Here is a 24,312-nt window from a genome sequence, read left to right on the forward strand (position 1 = left end):
CTACCAACTTACAGGAAATTTCAGAGCAGAGAGATGTGTTAAAATGTACCATGGATACAAAATTGCAAAATCTATGCTGTGGAAAACTGTAGCAAACCAAACTAGTTTCTTCAACAAATAAATAGCAAGGAAAAAAAGAGATGCTAGGAGCCTACAGGTTAGAGGAATTATAAAAGACATATCAAACACAATGTATGGGCTGGGTGCACTGGCTCACATCTGTAATCCCAGCACTTTGGGAGTCCGGAGTGGGTGGATCACTTGAGGCCAGGAGTTCAAGACCAGCCTGACAAAAATGGTGAAACCCTGTCTCTACTGAAAACACAAAAATTAGCCAGGAGTGGTGGCAGGCACCTGTAATCCCAGCCATTCAGGAGGCTGAGGCCTTAGAATCGCTTGAGCCCTGGAGGCAGAGGTTGCAGTGAGCCAAGACCACACCACTGCACTCCAGCCTGGGTGACAGAGTGAGATTCTGTCTCAAAAAAAAAATAAAAAATAAAAAATAAATTTAAAAAACCACAATGTATGGACCTTATTTGGATGCCAATTCTAACAAACAGGAAAAAAGCGAGACAAATTCATGCACAAACTCAGCATTTTATGATATTGAGAAATTATTATTGATTGTTGATTCTTTTAGGCATGATAATGATATTGACTATTTCTTACTGTCATTTTATTTCAGCAACATATAATGAAATGTTTATAGGTGACATTGTATGATACATATGAATTTCTTTTGCGGAAATGTGTGGGGAGTATGGTTTAAATGTAATTAGCCATGAATTAATCATTTAAGCTAGATTTTGGGTACGTATGAGTTAAATATATTAGTCTCTATAGGTTTGTATAAATCTAAAATATTCCATAAGGGGGTATTTTTATTATGCTGCCTCATACAACAAGTTGGAGAGTGTTCCTCTTTTCCTACTATAAAAAGGTTGTTTAAAATGGATGTTATTTCTAACTTCTTCTCTTGTAGAATTCATTAGTGAAGATACCTCAGACTAACTTTTTTAATTGTTGTTTTGTGTTGTTTTGTTATTATAAGAAGGTATTAATTACAGATGCCATTTCTTTAACGTTTAGGACAAGTTAGGTTTTCTGTTTCTTCTTGTGTCAAATTTGGTGATGTGCACCTTTTTAGGAATTTTTCTATTTAATGTCAGTTTGCAAATGTATTGAATACTGCTTTTCATACTATCTTCTTACTATGTCTTCAATGATCTTCAGTAACGTTCCTTGCTTAATTTCTGACATTAGTTATATATGTTTCTCCTCCACCCCCTCTTTCTCAGTTAGACTTATTAGAATTTTACCAATTAATCTTTTTTAAGATTAATTTTAGACATCAGGACGGGTTCCAAGATGGCCGAATAGGAACAGCTCCAGTTTACAGCTCCTGGCGTGAGTGATGCAGAAGACAGGCGATTTCTGCATTTCCAACTGAGGTACTGGGTTCATCTCACTGGGGCTTGTCAGACAGTGGGTGCAGCCCATGGAGTGTGAGCCAAAGCAGGGCGGGGCATCGCCTCACCTGGGAAGCACAAGGGGTCACGGAATTCTCTTTTGTAGCCAAGGGAAGCCATGACAGAGGATACCTGGAAAATCGGGACACTCCCACCCTAATACTGTGCTTTTCCAACGGTCTTAGCAAATGGCACACCAGGAGATTATATCCCGCACCTGGTTCAGAGGGTCCCACTCCCACAGAGCCTCGCTCACTGCTAGCACAGTCTGAGATTGAACTGCAAGGCAGCAGCGAGGCTGGGGGAGGGGTGTCCACCATTGCGGAAGCTTGAGTAGGTAAACAGTCCACAGACCTTTCATCAGTTGGGAGCTGTGTGTGTGACGTTAACAGTCATTAATGCCTAGATTTTTTATTAGGGCTTGCAAGGTGATGATATTCCATTTCTACCATTACTTTTTCATGTATTTATTAGAGTACATCTATTAGGAGAAGTTCTCTACTATTTGGTTATTCAATTGTATTCTGTGTATAGGAAAGGAAGAATAGGTACATTTCTCTTTCCCTTTTTTTACAAGTTTTAAAGTAAAAAAGTAGATTCAGTGGATGTCCTAGCAGTGACAATTCGGGGGTTTTTTTAGTGTTATTATGAATGTGTTGATTTAAACTTAACAAGCTCAGACCCATTGCAGTTGTTGTTGCTATTTATGCTCATATTGTCATTAGCCATTAGACATTGGAATTTTCCCATTAGACAGTAGAAATTTCCCAAGTCCTTTTGACCCAATATGAGAAATATTTAATAGCTTCATTGCTACCTTATATGATAAAATGTTTTAACTTATATGTTTCCCATCCCAGACCTGAAATCAGCCATTTCTCTAAGAACTGTTGATTTCTTTTACTGGGAAATGGTATTTTAAGATCACAACTTGGGTACTACAGATACTTATTGCTACCATATTGATCGGGTTTCTGGGCCCTTTCAGTGAGCAAAGGTAAAATTATTTAAGGTGAAACACCTCATATGTTCATAAATGAGTTCACCCTATTGTTTTTTTAATTCACATCCAGGGACACAGTGTATCACTTAACCTCTGCTGTGTTAATCTGTATCTCCTTTTCCCACACTGAGAATCCTACTTTCAAAAACACTGGGGATGATGGAACTAGAATATCACATAATTACTCATTTGTTTGATTCAACATCTCATACTAAACTTTCTTCTAATAACAATATTAATATTAGAACTATAATATGATGACTAAAATGATTTTAAAAACTAACTTGCAGATGCTCTCCTTATTCTCTCCCCACTTTTTTACAGTTCTACCTTATACTACATTGTCAGAGTTCATAACCATTACATACAATACTATTTTTCTAATAACTTTCATTTGGTCTTAATTCTACAAGTAAATATATATCAAATGCTTACCACCAGTCATAATGCCAGTGTCTCTAAAGTTATTTTGGTCATTTTTAAAGACATTCTCCTGTAGATTCTTACAAAGAGTCTTATGGGAATAGTATTCACAGAGTTCTTCCATGTTCATGAGAGTTTATCTGTGACCTTTGTATATAAAAGTCAATTTGATTGAACATAATCCTTGGATCACATTTTTTCTTATTTTTAAAATGTGTTATTATATTTTCTCCTAGCCCAAAATGTTGTTGTCAATAAGTCTGATGATATTTTTCTCTCTTATTAGTGATTTGTTTTTTTGTTTTTTCCTGAATGCCCAAAGGATATTTTCCACTAAAGAGAATGAGTTCTTAAAAATCCATTAGTTCAAATAGACCGTATGTTTGCATTCATCATTTTGAGTGCATCTTTTCTGGTAGGAAATGTGCCCTTTAAAAACAAAATTTCGAATTTTTTTTATTTCAGGAGGTGTTTCTAGCATAGTAGTTTTGAATATTTGTTCTGTTCCTTTACTTCAGTTTTCTTCTTTAGGGACTCCAGTTACATGTATACTTGTATCTTGTATCTTCTTTGCCTATCTTTTATATTTATCACTTTCTCTCTAATTATTTTAATGTTACTTTTTAGTTTATTTTTTATTTTAGAATTTTCCTTCGTTTTATCTTATTTTTCTTTAAAGGCATTATCCATTATGTATATCCACTTTTAACATTTTTTTTTTACTGATTATTTCTGAAATTGATATTTCCTTTATTTCTTATTCTCTTCTGAGCCCCATTACCTTATTTCTGAGTTTTTGTACTTTCCATTAATTGTTCTTTCATATCTTGTATTATTTTCCTAATTATTTTAGCTCAGTTTGAAATTGTAGTTTATAGTTTTCACCCATAAGCATGTCTTTATGTAATGCTTTTATTTTCTTTATTCTGCTCCTGATTCTATTTTTATCTTAAAATGACTTTATGTGGGTTTGAACCTCAATTATTTTCTGTTGTTTATTTTATATATTAGCTTTCCTCAACTTTAAAGATGTATGGTTTTGAGAAGCTTTTTTAATTCAATCACTCTGGGACACCTTCTATTATTTTTTTCAAGTAAATGTTCAACATTATGATGGCTTATATTCAGAGAGCTTCTTGCTCCACTGCCTTTCCACACTTTCATGTGAGCTTCTTTTTTGTTTTTTCTTTTTTTAATCTCTTAGGCCTGGACTGAATTAGATTCTGTTTCCAGCAGTTCTCACCTGTGGGGCTTTGTTCTAGAAGGGAATTTTAGCTGGCTAGTTTTGAGAGGCATAGGACCCAAACCGTTCCAGTTCCTGCAGATCTTACTACAGAATCCTTTGTGTTTACACACCATTGGAGTGTGCAAAAAGGCCTCTTGATTTTAGATGCTAAGCTGTCAAAAATTTGGGGTAAAAATATCTTGGTTATTTTAGGTTCTCATGTCCACCAGACACCCTGTTGCTTCTCTTTGCTTCCTCTTACACAGATGCTGGTACCATAGAGATCTTATGGCTCTTGGACTGAGAGGGAACAGAAACACAGAAAATGCTGGTGGTATGCGGGCACTGTCCAGAAAGTTCTTCTCCAAATAGGGGATGATGTAGTGAATTGGCAAGGTGAACATGAATTTGGATCTCTTCATTCATTTATTCATCCATTTCTCTAATAAACATCAGTAGAACCCATTAAATTTCAGACACTGCTGAGAAACAGAGGACATAGAGATGAATAAAACACAGTTCCTCCCCTGGAGAAACTCACAACCAAGTAGCAAGGATAGACATATCTATAAATAATGACAGCCATTAAATAAGGGCTACATCCAAATATATACAAGTTTATGTGTAAGCAAGGAAGGTTGGTCACGTTGACCTGAGTTATGGGTGAGGGGTGATAGGTGGGAGGTGGGGGCTGCCAGGCAGACACCAGGGGAAGGCTCACCAGGCAGAGGGGAATGGAGAGAGAGAGAGAAATGAAACAAGAACCAGCCCATTGTCTCACCTGGCTGAGGAGTTGGGTTTCCAAGGGAGAGGAAGGTAAGGAGAGAAGAAATCTGGACTCAGACTCAGAGGGCTGTGAATGTCCAGCTATGAGGTTTGGAGGCCCTTGGAGGATGTTGGCAGGAGAGGGCATGATCATCCCAACCTGAAAAAGGAGGCACAGGACTGTGTGGCAGGGGAGGAGGGCAAAAGGTGTTGAGCCAAGCTGGATGGTTAGGACAGGAGAGACCTGACAGGGGAGGGAAAGCAGTCTCAGAAGGACCTGGGGCTTCTCTCAGTGTTTGAAATGAGGCCAGGTGCTGATGATGTTGTACAAAGCCTGCCCAGGAGACAAGGTTCGGGCCACATCACTGTGGCCCACCAGCAGGTAGTTGGGAGTCAGGTACCCTTTGACCATGGCACACTGGATCAGGTCTTGGGCTGCCTCTAGTGCTGCAGCATTGGGTGGTATACCTGCAAAACACAGCAGCCCATTGTCTACAGGATTACAGGGCACCCTGCAAAATAGAACATATCCCCAGAACCCACCCTCATCACCAAGCTAATAGATTCCACTGTTGGCAGCCTCCCTAGAGACAGGCAAAAAAAACAAGGTCAAGACTTCAGATTTCTTAGTGCCAAAGTTTTCCTGAATCAAAAGAGCCAAGCCTGGGATAATAAATTCTTCTGAGGATATACAAAGCTTTTATCCACTGCAAAAGTTTAGCCTGGTAGTTCTTTATAAGGGTGCAATTTAGCCCCCCAAAGGACATTTGGCAGTGTCATGAGATATTTTTGGTTGTGAAAACTGGGATGCAGGGGAATACTAGTCGGTAGAAGCCAAGGATACTGCTAAACATCCTAGGACGGGACAGCCTCTGACAACAATGAATTATCTGAGCCAAAATATCAATTGTACTGAGGTTGAGAAACTTGATTTAATCACAATGTACTGCCTGTACCCTTTCATGTCTAGCTCAATGCTCAGCCCAGTATCAAGTCACAGTCCTGGTTCACCCCATCCCCCGACCCAATGCCCATTTTAGTATGGGCCATGTCACTGAATCAGCCCCAGTGACATGACCTCATCTTTTCAGAGGTTTGGTGAAAGGCCCTTGAGTCTAAACAAACTGATTAAGAACTTTGAGTTGTTCTCACTTTGGTAGGACATACATTAAAATTGGAATGATACAGAGAAGATTAGTGTGGCCCCTGAAGTAGGATGACATGCAAATTCGTGAAGCATTCCATATTTGTATGGAGAAATAAAGTGTTTCCTAAAGGAGCAAATGCTAAGGGAATTTGTCACCACTAGGCTGGTCCTATAAGAAATGCTCAAAGAAGTTCTACAGATGGAAACTAAAGGGCAATACACACTATCATAAAAACATATGAAAGTACAAAACTCACAGGACTTATAAAGCAATTACTCAATCGAGACTGCAAAGCAACTGGGTAACCATTAACATTATGACAGGAATAAATCCTCACATATCAATATTCACCTTAAACGAAAATGAACTAAAGGCTTCACTTAAAAAATATAGGCTGACTAATGAATAAAAACACAAAATCCAACTGTATGCTGCTTACAAGAAACCCCCTAACTGGTAAATAAATTTACAGACTCAAAATCAAGGGTAGAGAAAGATATTTCATGTAAATGGAAACCAAAAAGGAGGAGGAGTTGCTACACTATATCAAGTAAAACAGACTTTAAGTCAAAACAGTTAAAAAAAAAGATAAGGAAGTTCATTATGTAATGATAAAAGGATCAATTCAATAAGAAGCTATAACAATCCTAAATATATATGCACCCAACTCATATATATATAATGCAACATTAATTCAAGATGGATTAAAAACTGAAATTTAAGATCTCATTACCAGAGCACCCACATTCATAAAACAAATACTGCTAGACCTAAGAAAAGAGATGAATGGCAATATAATAATAGTGGAGAGCTTCAACACCCCACTGACAGCACTGGACAGATCATCAAGGCAGAAAATCAACAAAGAAACTCTAGACTTAAATTGGACTCTAGATCAAATAGACCTAGCAGACATTTACAGAACTTTCTAGTCAACAATGTTAGAATATATATTCATCTCTTCTGCACACAGAACAGTCTCAAAAATAGACCATATGCTAGGCCACAAAGCAAGCCTCAATAAATTTTTTAAAAATTAAAATCATATCAAGTATCTTGTTGGACCACAGTGGAAGAAAACTAGAAATCAATACCAAGAGTAACTCTCAAAACTATACAAATACATGGAAATTAAACAACCTGCTCCTGAATGGTCATTGGGTCGATGATAAAATTAAGGCCAAAATTAAAGATTTTTTGAAATAAATGAAAATAGAGACACAACATACCAAAGCCTCTGGGATACAACAAAAAACAGTGATAAGATGGAATGTTACAGCATCAAATGCCTCTATCAGAAAGATAGAAAGGTCTCAAATTAACAACCTATGTCACAACTCAAGAAAATAGAAAATCTAGAACAAAAAAAACCCAAAACTAGCAGAAGAAATAATAAAGATCACAGCAGAACTAAATGGTATTGTGTAGAACTTCTTTGAGCATTTGGTCTCTATATGAGACCAAAAAAAAAGAAATAGAAAGGATCAATGAAACAAAAAGTTGGTTATTTGAAAAGATAAACAGAACAGAACTCACAGACCACTAGCTAGATTAACCAAGAAAAAAAGAGATAATATTAGAACACCCACAATCAGAAATAATAAAGGTTGCATTACAGTTGATACCACAGAAATAACAAAAGATTGTCAGAGATTACTATGAGCATCTCTATGCATATAAACTAAAAAACCTAGAGGAAATGGATAAATTCCTGGAAACATACAACATCCCAAGACTGAACCAGGAAGAAATAGAAATCATTAATAGACCAATAACAAATAATTAAATTGAATCAGTAATTAAAAAAAGATTCTCCCAACAACAAAAAGCCCAGGACCAGATGGATTCACAGCCGAATTCTACCAGATGTAAAAGGAAGAATACCAACCCTACTAAAATTGTTCCCAAAAACTGAGGAGGAGGGAATCCTCCCCAACTCATCTACAAAGCCACTCTTATACCAACGCCAGGTAAGGACACAACAACAACAACCAAAACTACAGGCCAATAGCCCTGATTAATATCGATGCAAAAGTTCACAACAAAAATCTAGCGAACTAAATCCAACAACATATCAAAAAGTTAATTCCCACAATCAAGTGGGCTTTATTCCTGGGAAGCAGAGATGGTTCAACATATGCAAATAAATAAATGTGATTCACCACATAAGCAGAATTAAAACAAAAACTATATAATAGTTTTGATGCAGAAAAAGCATTCAATTAAATCCAACATTACTTCATGATAAAAACTCTCAACAAACTAGGCATCAAAAGAACATACCTCAGAATAAAAAATCCGTATATGACAAAATCACAATCAACATCATACTGAATGGTAAGAAGTTGAAAACATTCCCCCTAAGAACTAGAAAAAGACAAAGATGCCCACTTTCACCACTCCTATTCAACACAGTATTGAAGAAAACAATCATGCAAGAGAGAGAAATAAAAGGCACCCAAATTGGAAAAGAGGAAGTCAAATCATCTCTGTTCACTGATGATATAATCTTATACCTACAAAACCCTCAAGACTCCTTCAAAAGACTCCTATATTTAATAAATAATTTCAGTAGTTTCAAGATACAAAATCAATGTACAAAAATCAGTAGCATTTCTATACACCAATAACAATCAGCTAAGAACCAAATCAAGAACTCAATTCCATATACAATAGCTACATATAGATAGATATAGATAGATAAATACACCTGTTATATATAGGTGTGTATATGTTTGTATGTATATATATGTATTCCTAGTGTGTATATATATGTATTCCTGATATATATATATGTATTCCTAGTATGTGTATGTGTGTGTATAAATATATATATATTTATTTATATATATTTATATATATATACACCAAGGAGGTGAAAGATCTCTACAAGAAGAACTACAAAACACTGATGAAAAAAATTGTAGATGACACAAACAAATGAGAAGACATCCCATGCTCATGGATTTGAAGGATCAGTGTCATTAAAGTGACCATACTGCCTAAAGCAATCTACAGATTCAACGCAGTTCCTATCAAATTACAAACATCATTTTTCACAGAATTTGAAAAAACTATTCTATAATTCATATGGAACTAAGAAAGAACCCAAATAGCCAAAGCAATTCTAAGTAAAAAGAATAAAGCTGGAGGTATCATATTACCTGACTTCAAATTATACTACAAGACTATAGTAACCAAATTAGCATCGTACTGGTATAAAAACAGATACATAGATCAATGGAACACAATAGAGAACCCAGAAGTAAAGCCACATAGCTACACACAACTGATCTTTGACAAAGTTGACGAAAACATACACCAGGGAAAGGACACCCTATTGAATAAATGGTGCTGAGAAAGTTGGATAGTCACATGCAGAAGAATGAAACTAGACCCACTGCATATAAACATTAACTCAAGATGGATTAAAGACTTAAATTTAAGATCTCAAACTATAAAAATCTTAGAAGAAAACCCAGGGAAAAACTCTTCTGGACATGGGCCTAGGCAAAGCATTTATGACTAAGTCCTCAAAAGCAAATGCAACAAAAACAAAAAAGACAAATGGGACTTAATTAAACTAAAATATTTCTTCACAGCAAAAGAAATAATCAACAGAGTAAACAGACAACCTACAGAATGGAGAAAATGTTTGCAAACTATGCATCTGACAAAGAGCTAATACCCGGAATCTACAAGGAACTCAAACAACTTTTAAGGAAAAAAGTCAGCTCATTAAAAAGTGAGCAAAGGATGTAGACAGACATTTTTCAAAAGAAGACATGCTAGCAGCCAAAAACCATGAAAAAATGCTCAACATTACTAATCATCAGAGAAATGCAAATTAAAATCACAATGAGATAGCATCTTACACCAGTCAGATTGACAGAGACTGAGACCATCCTAGCCAACATGGTGAAACCCTGTCTCTACTAAAAATTAAAAAATTAGCTGGGTGTGGTGGCATGCACCTGTAGTCCTAGCTACTCGGGAGGCTGAGGCAGGAGAATTGCTTGAACCCGGGTGGCGGAGGTTGCAGTGAGCCGAGGTCACACCACTGCACTCCAGCCTGGCGACAGAGCAAGACTCTGTCTAAATAAATAAATAAATAAATAAATAAATAAGTCAAAAAATAACAGATGTTGCTGAGGATGCAGAGAAAAGGGAATGCTTACACACTATTGATGAGAATGTAAATTAGTACAACCTCTATGGAGATTTATCAAAGAGCTAAAAATAAAATAGCCATTTGATTCAGCAATCCAAATAGTATCAACCCAAAGAAAAAGAAATCATTATATCAAAAAGACATTTGCACTCATATGTTTATCTCAACACTATTCATAATAGCAAAGGCGTTGAATCACTTCAATGTCCATCAATGGATGACTGAATAAAGAAAAGGTAGGGTGCGTGCGTGTGTGTGTGTGTGTGTGTGTGTGTACACCATAGAATACTATTCAGCCATCAAAAAATGAAATCGTGGCATGGTGGCTCACTTTGGGAGGCCGAGACGGGAGGATCATGAGGTCAGGAGTTCGAGACAAGTCTGGCCAACATGATGAAAGCCTGTCTCTACTAAAAATGCAAAAATTAGCCAGGTGTGGTGGCATATGCCTGTAGTCCTAGCTACTCGGGAGGTTGAGGCCAGAGAATCGCTTGAACCCAGGAGGCGGAGGTTTCAGTAAGCCAAAACTGCACATTGTGTTCCAGCCTGGGTGACAGAGCGAGACTCCATCTCAAAAAAAAAAAAAAAAAAAAAAACAAAGAAAGAAAAGAAAAGAAATCATGTCTTTTACAGCAACATAAGTGGAAATGGAGGCCATATTCCTAAGTGAAATGACTCAAAAACAGAAAATGAAAAACTACATGTTCTCACTTATAAGTGAAAGCTAAACAATGGGTACATATTGGCACACAGAGTACAATAATAGACATCAGAGACTTCAAAAGGTGGGAAGGTGAGAGCAGGATTAGGGATAAGACGTTATTTAATGGGTACCATGTACACTACTCAGGTGATGGGTACACTGAAAGCCCAGACTTCACCACTGTGTAGTATATCCATGTAACACAATAGATTTGTAGCCCCTAAATCTATAAAAATGAAAAAAAAAGTAAAATAGAGCTCTGAGCCATGACAATTCTCAGTGTGCACTCTCAGTGCAAAGACTGGGGCTCACTGTGGCTTTGGCATATAAGGAAAAGTGTCTCTACATTGTTGTCATGGTAACCAAGAGAAGATGCATCTGCTGACCAAGATGAGCTAAAAATAAGCACAAAGATCTTTTCCCCTTACTTTGCATGTTCCTTACATATTGGAAGAAAGAGACATTTGGCTGGGTGTAAAGGAGGGTAGATATAGGGTGAGCATTATGTCTGGGGGTCACCTCTGGTCACACTCAGCTGAGTCAAATGTTGGATTGGAAGCTGGGTCAATCAAGCATATGCAGGCACTAAAATGACGCTTGAGACTGAGACTTTGTCTTCCATGTCAGATGCTCTCTTTCAAATACCATGCAATGACCCTACTGACCAAAGCATCCACTTACCTGTGAAGGTGCCCATGAAGGTAATGCCCAGGGCAATGTCATCGTAGCCAGGGGTGGAGGAGCCTTGGACATTCCAGCCCACCCCTTCATAAATGGCGCCATCCTGGCCCACCAGGAAGCTAGAGGACCACAAGGGGAGATGGAGACCAGCATGAAATTCTGGAATTGTTTCTCTCTTTCATGTATTAATTTATTCATGTCTTTACTACTTCAGACTTTGATTATCTATTGGATTCTAAGCACTGGGTTACAGAAACAAGACAGAGTCCTTGCCAATGGAGTGCTGGTAAACTAGCTCAGGGGGAATGAGGGAGGCAGGGTAGGGAGAGGGAATCCCAATTTACAGCATATGCTGATTTCTGTGGTGTAAACCTCTCACTATAGCAGATTTCAGGTGACCAACAATTTAACAACCAGCTCTCAAAATTCCAGAATCTCTAACAATCAGCTCTCATGAGCTGGCACAAGCCCATTCGGCTCCAGCACACCACTGCGGCCCCCAGGTAGCTCACAGTCAATGAAGATAAAAGAGAATGACAGCTTTCAATCCCTAGGCCTTTTCTCCTTCTCACCAAGAAAACGGTTTCCCCCAAGGTGACCCAGGATCTCCTTACCATTAAATACAAAGTAAACTTCCCCAGTCTTTCCTGACTTGATCTCTCTGTACATTTGACTCTGCCACACCTCTTGACTTCTCCAAACACTCTCTTCCCTTAGCTTCCATCACACCACACTCTCTTGGCTTTCTTCTCCAGCTGCTCTCCCTCCACACCTCATCTTCCTGCACCCTTTCCTTAAATGTGAGGTTCCTCAGGATGCTATCCTCAGCTCTCTTCTCCCCATACTCCACACAGGACTAACCCATCCACTTCCTTGGCTTCAGTTGCTATCCATGAAAGTCCGCACGTTCACAACTGGACCCATCTTCTTCGTCACCTGTTCCCCTTTCTGGGATCCCCATCTTGGTGAAAGGCATGGTCACCCACCCACCCATTGGCCCCAGCCAGGAATACAGGCATCAGCCCACCCACTTCATCCACTCGTTAACCCAGGCTTGTCAATGATGTCTCCCAACTACACTCCCTGATCTGCCCTGCACCCTGGTCATTAACCATTAACCTCCACTGACCTCTGAAATTCTTCCACTTATCTCTGTAACCTCTGCTACCATCACAGGGATGTCACCACTCAGTCCTGCCTGGATTGCTGCACAGTCCTCAGATCTCACGGCCTCCAGTTCCACCCTTTCCCATCCAGTCCATTCCTAAAGGGTAGCCAGACTGGTCTTTCTAAAATACAAATCTTACTATGTCAAAACCCTGTTTTCAGTCCCTCAGCACTGAGTGCACACACCCCAGCTTAAGTTACAAAATCCTTCTGACATGGACTGTGTCTGCCTCCCCAGCATCAGCTCTACCACACTCCTCTTTGACATCTATATTTATCCCAATGAACTTCTCTCAGCTCCCCACAGGCGCCTCTCTCAGGCTGGAATTCAGTCCTTTCCACAGAGGCCATTTCCCTCTTCCTGAATCACTCTTCCTGCTTCCTCCTCCCACTCAACTGTAAGGCCTCAGCTAATCTGATGTTCCCACAGGGATTGCTTCCTTCACGCCTATTTTCCTGGCATCCTAAACCTCCCGTCTACCCTCCATGTGTCCCCTATAATAATGTTTAACCTACCCTACTAGAACTTATTTGTTTGAATTACTTTTCTTCCTCACTAAAGCATTGGCTCCATGCAGGCAAGAACCATATCTGTGAGGCACATCCGATGGCATCCCCAGAGTAGCCTTGTGCCACGCAGAGTACACATTCAATTACATGTTCAGTGAATTGTAATCTATGAAGGAGGGAGTGTGTCATCCTGACTACAGACCACCTCAATGAAAGAAAATGACACAGTCATAATGCTATAATAGAAGAGGATACAGTACAAGGTCCAAGTCAAGGGACAGGCAACTACCCTCTGAGACCTGAATGGAAAAAGGGAAAGGGCCTCCCCTCAGCCTCCACCACTTTCCAGTTTAGGCTTTCCAAATTTACAGTCCATTTTCAGGTATCCACTCTTATTAAAGACAGCAACGCTGCAAGTAATCCTGTATGGCAGGACCTAGCAAAGCACTTGGTAGGTTCTGATACGTCATAGGTGTTGGAGGGAAGGTTTTCTCCTATCTTGAAAAGGGTGCTACTAAAATGGGGACAGAGAGCAAGGGGCCAGAGAGGGGAGAGACAGTCAGCCCAGAATCGTGTACCAAGCAATGGTAAATTCATCGCTAAGCCATAAATGGCCCTAGAGTTAAAGGTTCCTTCTATGAATGTGCATGAATATGCCAAATGGTCTACCAGTAGCTTTTTCTGAGATTTAAAATTTAGTGTGAATTTTCCTGATGGGATGTTACATGGGGTCTAACGCCGGATGTCTTATCTGCAAACTCTGAAAGCATCCTTCAAGAAATTTCTACTTGTTTTGTGGACTATTCATTTTGTGTGTTTGTGTAGCAGTTTTTAAAATCAATACTTTTTAATGGAAACATCTTGATCAAAAATGTGTCACAGAATTTTGAGACCCTTTAAGATAATGCTTAATGGGGAAAAAAAAAAGAAATGTTTACTCTTCCACTTAGGTCTGTGTCTTCCTTATTAAAGAATCACAGACCTTAGCATTAGAGAAATCAAAAGATAGTATTTGGTCTCTCCCCCGCCTTCAGACAGGAAGGATATCCTTCCCAAGGAAGTTGGTGGTTTCTAGAAGCAGAGAAGCAGCACGGGTCTACCATGAGGGGGAACCACTTCAGGTTGTGGCCAAAGTGAGCAGCAGAGCCCCAGCCTCTGAGTAGGAGGCGGTGGTTACACAAACAAAGCACAATCTTTCGATTATCTTTTCTACAGGTGTCACAATCTTGCATGCGTACTGCTTCCTCCAGTGACTTTTTGGCAGAGTTGTAGCATCCGTCATGCCAGTGTACTACCTTTAGTAGGTACACATCTTGAGAACATGTTTGGGCAAATGACTACCCCCTTGGCTATCTCCTAAGAAAGACCCAGGCAGGGTCGTGTGATGAATTCATTTGGTTATCCATACAGTGCCTCTCCTATGGTGACTACCCAGTAAATATTAGTTCCCTTTCCCCTTCCTTTCAAAGGCTCAGTTTCTGCCCCCAAGGGAAAAGAAGCCCAGTGTACCCAGACCCACTCACTTATAACCAATGTCGCATGACTTGAGCCTGTCTATGTAGAAAGACTGGATGTCCCGGACCAGCAGGCGGCACTCATCAGAAATGTTGCAGGTCCTCCCGGCAGTGTGGATAATGATGCCATACTTCGCTGGGAGAGTCATCCTGGGACAGTGGGTCTCCCTGGCTCCCCACACAGACCGTGGGACAACGCCGGGGCAAGCTGAGGTGGGGCGAGAAACCACAGAGGGTTCATCTTCCCCATCTATGCCAGCCACTTCTCCACCGTAGGCTGATATAATGCTCAGGACCCTCAACTTCCCAAACCCCTCTGGGTCTCCCACCCTGCCCCCAACCACCCTGCCCCCAACAGTGGGACTTGAGAGCAGACAGTGTCCCGCAGTGGGACATGGACATTTTATTCTAAGAATATGTATTTGAGTCATTTGTAATCCATGAAACTCTCTGTCAATGTAAGCGATCATTTATGTTAACAGATGGCACCAGAGATCAAATTTACTCAAGGCTTTAATATAATAGAGATGAATCTTCTTTCAATCTTGATTAAGCCCAAGAAAAGGCTGAAAGTGCTTATTAAATTTACTGTTTTTGATGTTGCTGCTTGTTAAACCCAAAATGGTATCCACCTTTTATTATCTGAATTATGTTGAGCTCTTTCTTTAAAGTCTGTGTAAGTGGTGGTCTAAGTTTTCTGCAGCACTTCAGTCTATTCGTGTTGTTTTGGTTTTTGTATTCAGAAATGTGTGTTTGTGTGTGTTCATGTGTAAACATATGAGTGTATAAATATGTGTATAAATGTGTCCAGTCCCTTTCCATTGTTTCCTCCCTTGCACTTTTCTCCATATAACATCCCAATATGTCACTTATTTATTTGCTTATTGTCTTTCTCTGCCCTCTAGACTGAAACTTCATGAGGCCAGGGACTTTTGCTTTTCATTCCTGAGTATATTTTCAGGGTCTAGAAGGTGTTCAGTAATTGCTTGTTGAGTGATGGAAGAAAGGAGTGTGCATATATGACACCAGGGATAATGCTATGGCTCTTTCATATGAGGAATCTGAGGGACAAAGAGGTGGCCTGGAGGTTTCCTCTCAAGATTTGCCAGCCCCAAGAGTTCAGAGAGTTGGGTGGCCAGTTGCCTTCCAGAAGGAATCTAATGGGCCCTACTGAAAAGGTCACTCCCAATGGTATTTGCGAGTTAGTTGGGGTGAGCCCAGTGGCAGGCCCAGTAGGGCTGAAGAAAGGTCTTACCCTTCTTCAGGCTTGTCTTCTGCCGAGGGGCCAGGCAGTTCTCGCCTTTCCCAAGAAGTGGCTGAACATAACTGGATGACAGGTGGCCCTTCTGGACAGCATAGGTGATTAGGTTTTCCATGGCCGACAGGGCAGCAGGGCTGGGACTGTGGCCTAGAAGAGAGAAATCTGTGGGAAACCTCCACCCAGCCTGAGTTTCAGGGGATCTTTTGGGGAAGGAGAAGATGCTCTGCCAGCCCCTGCACAGCTGATGGAGAGGAAGAAAAGGGAACAGGTTATGCCCCCAGTTGGAGAGGCTGAGAATTAAGGATCTTCCTGGAAAGATCTCTCAGTGGCTCAAAATGAAGTCCTTTCTCATCCCAAATACCTGCCAAACTTCACCTCCTCTCTCCATGAAAGAGCTCAGAAGCAGCACCAAGCCCAGCAGCACCCGCCAGGCCAGGCCAGGGTTTCCCATCAGAAGGGGCCCCTCCAGGCATGTGTCAGGCTCTTTGCCTACAATAACTCATTTAATCAGCAGCACAAACCTCTGAGAGATGCTATTATTAACTGCATTATTTGTGAAGAGGAACTTGAGGCTCTGAGAAGTAATGTGCTCAAGATCCCAAGCTAACGACAAATGGAAATGAGTAGTCATGAAAACAAAAGCAAAAACAAGATAAACACAGAGTCCTCTGGAGTGCTGGGGAAACCACCCAGGAGCTGGAGATAAAAGATATGGACCATGTTCTGATTCCTCTCCTTCTAGCTGTGTCACTTGGGGTCATCGACCTCTCTGAAACCCAGACTGCACCTCTGCACAACAGGGGTCATGAAATCTACCTGGACTCTCTCAAAAGGTACTGGAAGGGGAAAATGAGAAACTAGGTATGTAAGATCTCTGTTAACGGGAAAGGGTACACAAATTCAAAGGAATGGTCCTGGAGTACATATGTTAAGATGCATGTGGCAAGGGGCCTTGGAGCAACAGTCCAGAAAGAAGTAGAAGAGAGTCAGAGATTAGGGGACCCAGAGTGGTTTTTTTTTAGAAATATATAGAAAATCTAGGAGTAAGAGATGAAAGGAAGAGGTGCCTGGCAGGAACTTGGAAAGCATGGCCCACAGCCACAGAATGGTCAGAGCTCAAGAGGAAGATGTGTTAGTCATTGACATAGAGGAGAGAGCTGAAGCCCAGATAAGCTTGCAGAGAGATGACTGGTCAGCATCTCCACATAAAAGATGGCTAGAGAAAGAGGAGCCTGTTTACAGGGGTTGAGAAGGAAGCCAGGGCAGTAGGAAGAGACCCTTCACAAAGTCATTTCCTGGAAATCAAGGAAGAAGAAAATTCCAAGAGAGAGTGGGTCTTCAGAGAAGTATGAGAAGGATAAGACAGCAGAGTAGCAGATAGCTAGTTCCCATGAAGTGGCCCCTGAGACAAAGGATTAGAGAACTCTTTGGAGAAGGTCAGCTGTGATAACTGTTACCTTTCTTAGTGCCAAAGAAGGCAAAGCCCAGGGAGATGTTGTTGTAGCCTTGGGTGTGCACTCCTTGGATATTCCAGCCAACACCTTCATACACCCTGCCATCATCCCCAACCAGGAAGCTATGGAGCAAGATAATACAGGTTTCATGGCTGGCACTGTAGGACATTCCTGAGAGGTGAAACCACTTACCCAGCCTCAAAATGGAGAAGGACTGAAGCTATGTTCACTAAAAGGAATTTGCATGAACTCTTCCCAGACATTGAAAAGAGCAAGTCATTTATACTAGTCCTTAGAATTCAGAAGGACCCACTCTCACACTCCCTACCCCCTTCCCTTTTCAGAGGCTGCAGTTTTACCATAAATCATTCTACATGCTCAGGAGAAGAGGTCCTAGAGGTTCCATGGTAACTGACCACACAATGGAAGGCTCTTCTGTCTTCCACGCTTCCTTAAACCGGGCTCTCCTACCTCCTCCAAAGTGTGTGCTGCCTGTGTGATCCACGCAGAGCTGTTCATTTGATTTCTCCCTGTCACGTAACTGTCCTACATAGACTTCCCAAGAAATAGCTCCTGAGACAGGGACGAGGATGCAGGCACTTCATCTGCAAAGAGATCTAACAGAGCAGGAGCACCATCATCTCAGACAAACACCACCACTTTAAATTCCAGCTCCCTTTCTAGCCTCATGTATTTCAAGGAAATCACTTCTCTTCTAAAAAACAAGCAGCCAGAAAGAGCAGACAGTAAAACACAGATAAGACAGCTCAGGCGCAGAGAGGGGTGGGAGGAAAGTCCCTTGAGTAACTGCCAAACTTCACCCTCATACAATTGGCCCCAGTAAAACAGTGGGCCTTAATAAGCACATTCCTTTCCCTTCAGGTGCACTAAGATAAGGAAGCTAAAAGCAGACTGGGGGGCGGTGGGGATATGCCTGCAGCTGCAGAAAGATGTATGGGAACAGACACACAACTGTCCCTCCCAGATAAGCACGACAAAGACACAGAAGCAGTCCAAGCCTCTGATAAACTCTCCCACCCTGAAACCTTAAAAACTCTTAGTCTGTAAGAGAGTAGGCTCTGACCTAACTTGGCCAAAAGCCTCTCTCAGTTTTGTTTTTTCTAAAATAAACCAGTCCTCGACTGTCGAGCCACCTTTCATGGTTCTTTCCTCTTTAATTCTTACAGGATCCCAGAAGCCAGGGTGAGGAGAGTGAGACAGAAGGAAGAAAGCCAGCAAAGTATGTGAAATTGGGCTGGCTCACAGTGGCTACCTGTGACTCCACCCCACCCTGTGGCCTTCCCAGGAGCTGTGTACATGCGCTTTAGAACTGCCTCTCATAAGGGCTGGGGTTGAGGAGGCTACACACCAAGCCCTGTCCCCCAGGAAGGCATTCACTCCCTTTTGTCGTCAGGGGCTGGGGGAAGGTCTGAAGCAGGAAAGCAGAGAGATGTGTTGGGCACTTGAGGCAGGAAGCCATCACTGCACTCAGGAACTGTCCACAGCTAGCCAAAGTCAGAGGTGAGCCAAGGGCATGTGGTATGGGCACCAGTACGACCTACTAGAGCGATCATTACAGGAACAGATGGACATTTGCCTCACTGAGGCTGGAGCCCATGTGTGTGGTGTGGAGGAGCACGCCAGGGATGAAGAGAGCCAGTTTAGGCTCCATGGGTCCATAGATATGTGACCTCAAATTAATCAGCCTCCCTCCCTTGGGCCCCTCTTCCCAGGGCAAAGAGATGGTGACACCTGCCTACCAGTCGGGAGAGCTAAAGCCCTCATGTATGAGGAAGTCGTTTGCAATCTGTAGTGTGCTGTGCAAGCCAGGGTTGGGGGAGGGTAGAGAATACAGTTATTACTTAACCTTCCTTGCTTCCTCCTGGGAGCTCTCAGAGACAGGCACCTCACAGAAAAATCCAAAGGATTGGGAGTTTCATGGGGGTTTTAAATATTTTATTCATTATAAAACATATAGGACCACAACCCAGAAAATGAGGAAAAGGGATGAGAAGGGACAGGAGAAGCATCCCAGGGAAGCAACACTGACCATGTGCCGTGGGACCCAGACCCAGCTCTTACTTGTAGGCCACATCACACCCACTGTTGTTGTGGACATGATGGGCCTGCAGTTCCCGCAGTCTCTGGCTGCAGACTGTCTGGTCGTGACACTCCAGTCCAGGGACATGGTGTATAACAAGGACATTCACTGGCGTGGTCAGCTGAATACTGCAGCCAACAGCTTCTGCCCCCCATGCCTTGCGAGAGACCGTGGTGGAGACATCTGTGGGAAGGCCTTGGGGACGTCACTCAGCGCACCTGCCCCATCACTACCGCATTAGCCCGCCAAGCTGAACATGCAGGCATGGGCTGTGTCGGCCCCTTGGTAGTGGAAGAGCCTTCAGCAGGCAGGTGCACCTGCCCTGCCCACCTCTACATACCCATCTCTCCAACACTCACCCCGAACACAGACTCTGCACCTGGCCAGGGAGCCTAATGCTTTGCTCCCCCATCCCATAATGTCCCCTACTCATCTCCTCCCCTGCTGTGGTCCAGGCTCTGCACTTCAGGAAGCATCACCTGCTTATCCCTGGGGAAAGCCCTGAGCAGCCTGGCTTGGTGTCACCTCAGCATTCAATGTGTGCTCTCTGATCATTTCCTCTGCGGTTCTGAGTGTTCCCTGAGGGGACTGCATCTTCTCCCCCCAGCAGGGGCTATGTCTCCCCCTCAGTCTGAGGACTTCCTGAGGGCAAGGTTTGGGTCTCCCTCCACAGGGAGTCCCTGTCTGCAGAGGCTGTTTCCCCTCTTCCTGGGTTTCTAGCCCTCCAGCACCAGCCTTCCATCCCAAGGACCTGGGTAATTAATGCAGGTGGTTTACTGGTACTGCTCTCTGCACTTCAACCCCATTTTCCCCCTCCCAGTCACATGTGGCTTTGCAGACCTCAGAAACATTTCCGATCACATGAAAAACCCCAGCTCGTCCCAAAACCCCCTTACTATCCAGATCCAGTTTACCTTTTTCAGTGAGCTGGGAGATGTTCTCAAATAGGTACTGGAGCCCCTCTGATACCTGTTTAGCTTGTGTTTTGTTCCAGGAGGAATCACCTGCAAAGGAATATCCCATTTTGCATCAGAGAGCACCAATACCAGCCATCATGGTGGCACCAGCTCTGAACAGAAACAGCCATCCCCTCTCCACTGCCCCTCTGCCTCCTCAAATCCCAGAGCCTCCTCTAAGAAATCTCTCTGGGCTGACCAGAGGGCCACCTCTAATAGCAGCAGGTGGCATAACTTCCTTCCATGCCAACTCTGGGAAATCCCCTGGGATAGGCAAGGAGTTGGAAATGTTATCCTTTTCTCATGAGCTGTATCTACACACACAATTGGCGGGGAAAAAAAAAAAACTAGAAATGTATTCAGACACTTCAAAACCACAAAGTCCTCTCTTGTGTGCATTTTACCGAAGCAATGGGGAAGCGTGTGTGAAGAAGGGGTTAGAATTACCTGCACGGCTCAGACCAGTTCCCCCGGGATTGATTTTAGGGACGTGTGCTATGCCCATTCTCCTGTCTGAAGGCCCATGGGGGATGGGCAGGGTGTTGATTGAGACCCTTACCCACAAGGAGCTTTCTCTTATTGACAAGCACAAACCCAAGCCATAGGCTGGACTCTGATTGACATCATAATAACACAAATGTAATCCTTGCTCCTGTTTATTTGCTTTTACTGCCCACGTATTGCTATATCTTCAGGTGCATTATCTCATTTAATCCTCACAGTGAGTTTAGGAAGTCATAACTATCTCAATTTTCAGATGGGAAAATAAGGGTTTATAGAGCTTAATTGCTTGTTTAAAATCATTCCTAGAGGCAGAGCGAGGACTTGAATCCAGGTCTATAGGCTCCAAGTTCTGTGCTCTATGTACAATCTATTCTTTCTCCTTAAGAGAGAGTAGGTTTTGGGGGATTTTTTCGTTTTGTTTTGTTTTTTGTTTGTTTGTTTGTTTGAGACGGACTCTCACTCTGTCACCAGGCTGGAGTGCAGTGGCTCAATCTCGGCTCACTACAACCTCTGCCTCCCGGGTTCAAGCAGTTCTCTCATGCCTCCCTCCCGAGTAGTTGGGACTACAGGAGCGCGCCAGATGGAGTTTCACCATGTTGGCCAGGATGGTCTCGATCTCTTGACCTCCTTATCTGCATGCCTCGGCTTCCCAAAGTGCTGGGATTAGAGGCGTGAGCAACTGCGCCCGGCCAAGAGAGAATGGGTTTGTTTTTGTTTGTTTGTTGGTTTGTTTGTTTTTTGAGACAAGTTCTCGCTCTGTCACCCAGGTTGGAGTGCAGTGGCACGATCTCATCTCACTACAACCTCCATCTCCTGGCTTCAAGCAATTCTCCTACCTCAGCCTCCCTCCTGAGTAGCTGGAACTAGAGGCATGTGCCACCACACCCAGCTAATTTTTGTATTTTTAGTAGAGACGTGGTTTCACCATGTTGGCCAGGATGGTCTCGATCTCTTAACCTCGTGATCTGCCCACCTAGGCCTCCCAAAGTGCTGGGATTACAAGCATAAGCCACCACCCCTGGCCAAGAGAGAGTAGTTTTTTTTGTTGTTGTTTGTTTGTTTTTGAGACAAGTTCTTCCTCTGTCACTCAGGCTGGAGTGCAGTGGTGGGATCTCGGCTCACTGCAGCCTTGAACTCCTCAGGCTCAGATGGACAGTAGGTATTTTTTAATTCCTATTATGAGACTTTAGGATCACCCTTCTCGGTTGCTTTTTGGCCCAGGGAAAGAAAACTTACCCCAGGCCTGGATACCCAGAGCAGAGAAGACAAGAAGCCACGGCAGCATCCCCACGTGGTCCCAGGACACCAATCTGGAGAGTGTGGATGGCAGCCTGAGAGAGACGCTGACAGTTGTTAACATGACCATTCTCAATCTGCAGAGCATCCCAAACCCTGACTGCAGTGGGTGCCATCTGCCTCCTCTACCATCCTGTGGCCTCCTGAGGGCCAGCACCTGCTTCAGTCTTCTCAGGGCCCCCAGCATACAGCAGGTGCTCAGCATCCCTGTCCTATTATTACCCGAGGAACTCAATTTCATCACGTGCCCACGGCGTGCAAGGCTGTGTACACACTTGCACATGCAGTCTTATTTAATTAGTCCTCACACTAATCCTGTCATGTAAGACTGTTAACCCCCATTTTTACAGACAAAGGAAGTAAGATCCAAGAATGGTACAACCGAGAAATCCAGACTCATATGGATGGGTCTTATGCAGAGAATCCCTTCCCAGCTGGGAATATGCCAGATGAGGGAGATATAGGAGTAGGAGGGGTTCCTAGTTCTAGGGCAGAGGAAATCCAATCCTTAACACTCTTTCTGGTGGATTCCAGTCCCTTTGCTGGAAGAGGGCTTCTGAAGAAGAAACACATACTCAACTCACAGATATCTGTGGGTCCTGTGCTGTCCCAGCCCAGCAGGTCAGGGTGCAGTCAGCTTGCCCCTGATTGGCCAGCAGCTCCTTCCCTTCCAGACTTGGCCTCCAGGCCCTGCCCTTCTTCACCAACTGGCGCCTTCTCCTCCAGCCTTCACTCTCCCTAGCCCTAGAGGGCACTCCCTCCCTGGGAATGGAGCACTCGGGCTCTAGCTTCCCAGAGAGAAGAGAGCCCAGGATCCCTAACAAAAGATGGGGAGAAGGGAAGACAGAGGGCAAGGCTCTGAGCCAGCTCCTTTCACAGCACCTGGAGAAATGCAAGTGGGACCAGACTCAGGCTGAGAGCACCTGGGGACCCGCCCTGTGAATAAGCCCAGGTAGCTCCTCCCTGGGAAAGGGCAAGATTGCCCAACACTCCCGAGAGCTCGTCCTCAGCCCCAACCTGGGAAAGCCTGCAGGGCCTGAGGGTTGTGTCTGCAACATCTAGAAACTTCCTGCCTGTGAAGTTCTGCTCCAGGAGCCTGAAGACTGTGGATTGAAGTCACTCACCAACACCACCTTTTACCAGGGTCATGAGCAGGGTCAGGATGGACAGAGAGAAACTGGGAGGTACAATCTCAGGAAACAGCTCACGATGCCTAATTCTGCCCCAATAGCTTACATGTCTGCCCATCATCCTCCCGCCTGCCACTCCCCACCGTCGGCATCAAGCTGCCACCTACCACAGAAAGCCTCCCACAAACCAAGAATCTCCAGCTCCTCGCCATGTTCCAGTTGTCACCTAATCTCATTCCACATTCTGCAACCTGGACTTACAGCCCTTGAGTCTTCACAGAGGAAACTCTGCATGACACTTTCCAAGAACGCAGTAGGATGCAGTCTCCACGGGGACCTGCAGAGCCTCTCATGTCCCGGAGGGTGGGGCAGCCTCCCTAGACACTTAGGAAGTGCCCTGAATCCAGAACAGTTGCTCTCAGTGAGCTGCAGTCCCACTCTCAGACTGGGCTCCCCAGGAGCGCTCTCTGGATGGGGCCCATTGAGCATGCGCCAGGTCTACCTGGCATTCATCCCAGTCATGCACCCAGACCCAGGCTGGAGCTGTGTGATGAGCAGGGGCTGCTGAGCTCTGTCCTGGGGTGAGGGTGAATGTGGGGCAGAGCCAGAGACAGAGATGAAGGAGACCAAGAACTGCAGCCTGGGACCAGCACTGTAGGGACCCTGGTAGTTTCCCCAGCCTGGCAACATGCTGTTTCTCCATGCCTTTTGCTGGCCGCCCATCCTAAATAAGTAGAACAGTTCTCAAAATGAGAAGGTTTCTGGGCTTGCATCCGGGGCACCAAGGACTTGAGGAGACTCGGTTCCCCTTTTTGGAGCGGCTTGGGGAGG

General features: G+C 43.3%; 1 protein-coding gene and 1 pseudogene across 8 annotated transcripts, besides 3 other annotated features; one reads left to right on the forward strand and one right to left on the reverse strand.

Annotated features, from left to right (window-relative positions):
• Positions 1 to 4,527: 4,527 nt before the first annotated feature.
• On the reverse strand, positions 4,528 to 23,249 carry PGLYRP4 (peptidoglycan recognition protein 4). 8 transcript variants are annotated; one of them, XR_921897.3, is made up of 10 exons: positions 22,936 to 23,249; positions 22,292 to 22,386; positions 20,510 to 20,599; positions 19,577 to 19,790; positions 17,498 to 17,616; positions 16,035 to 16,187; positions 14,789 to 14,987; positions 11,589 to 11,707; positions 4,902 to 5,045; positions 4,528 to 4,602 (listed from the first exon to the last, which is right to left on the reverse strand). XR_921897.3 is itself a non-coding variant. In XM_011509790.1 (10 exons), the coding sequence occupies exons 2-9, from the start codon at positions 22,338 to 22,340 to the stop codon at positions 5,175 to 5,177; spliced, it is 1,122 nt and encodes a 373-aa protein (XP_011508092.1). In that variant the 5' UTR covers positions 22,341 to 22,386; positions 22,936 to 23,249; the 3' UTR covers positions 4,966 to 5,045; positions 5,130 to 5,174. The 8 variants fall into 8 exon arrangements, 6 of the variants coding, with proteins under 6 accessions (XP_011508093.1, XP_011508094.1, NP_065126.2 ...); XR_007062001.1 differs by having other exon boundaries at positions 4,528 to 4,599; positions 4,902 to 5,353; XM_011509790.1 differs by lacking the exon at positions 4,528 to 4,602 and adding an exon at positions 5,130 to 5,353 and having other exon boundaries at positions 4,966 to 5,045.
• Positions 6,030 to 6,136, forward strand: RNU6-160P (RNA, U6 small nuclear 160, pseudogene; annotated as a pseudogene).
• Positions 14,430 to 14,519: an enhancer, noted in NCBI's record as "active region_1741". NCBI's record gives its function as "activates an Ori minimal core promoter by ATAC-STARR-seq in GM12878 lymphoblastoid cells {active_cell/tissue: GM12878}" and the evidence as "EXISTENCE:reporter gene assay evidence [ECO:0000049][PMID:35858748]".
• Positions 18,664 to 18,743: an enhancer, noted in NCBI's record as "active region_1742". NCBI's record gives its function as "activates an Ori minimal core promoter by ATAC-STARR-seq in GM12878 lymphoblastoid cells {active_cell/tissue: GM12878}" and the evidence as "EXISTENCE:reporter gene assay evidence [ECO:0000049][PMID:35858748]".
• Positions 19,550 to 19,769: an enhancer, noted in NCBI's record as "active region_1743". NCBI's record gives its function as "activates an Ori minimal core promoter by ATAC-STARR-seq in GM12878 lymphoblastoid cells {active_cell/tissue: GM12878}" and the evidence as "EXISTENCE:reporter gene assay evidence [ECO:0000049][PMID:35858748]".
• Positions 23,250 to 24,312: the final 1,063 nt, after the last annotated feature.

The sequence above is a fragment of the Homo sapiens genome, chromosome 1 (genome assembly GCF_000001405.40).
Source record: "Homo sapiens chromosome 1, GRCh38.p14 Primary Assembly".
NCBI classification, from domain to species: domain Eukaryota; kingdom Metazoa; phylum Chordata; class Mammalia; order Primates; family Hominidae; genus Homo; species Homo sapiens.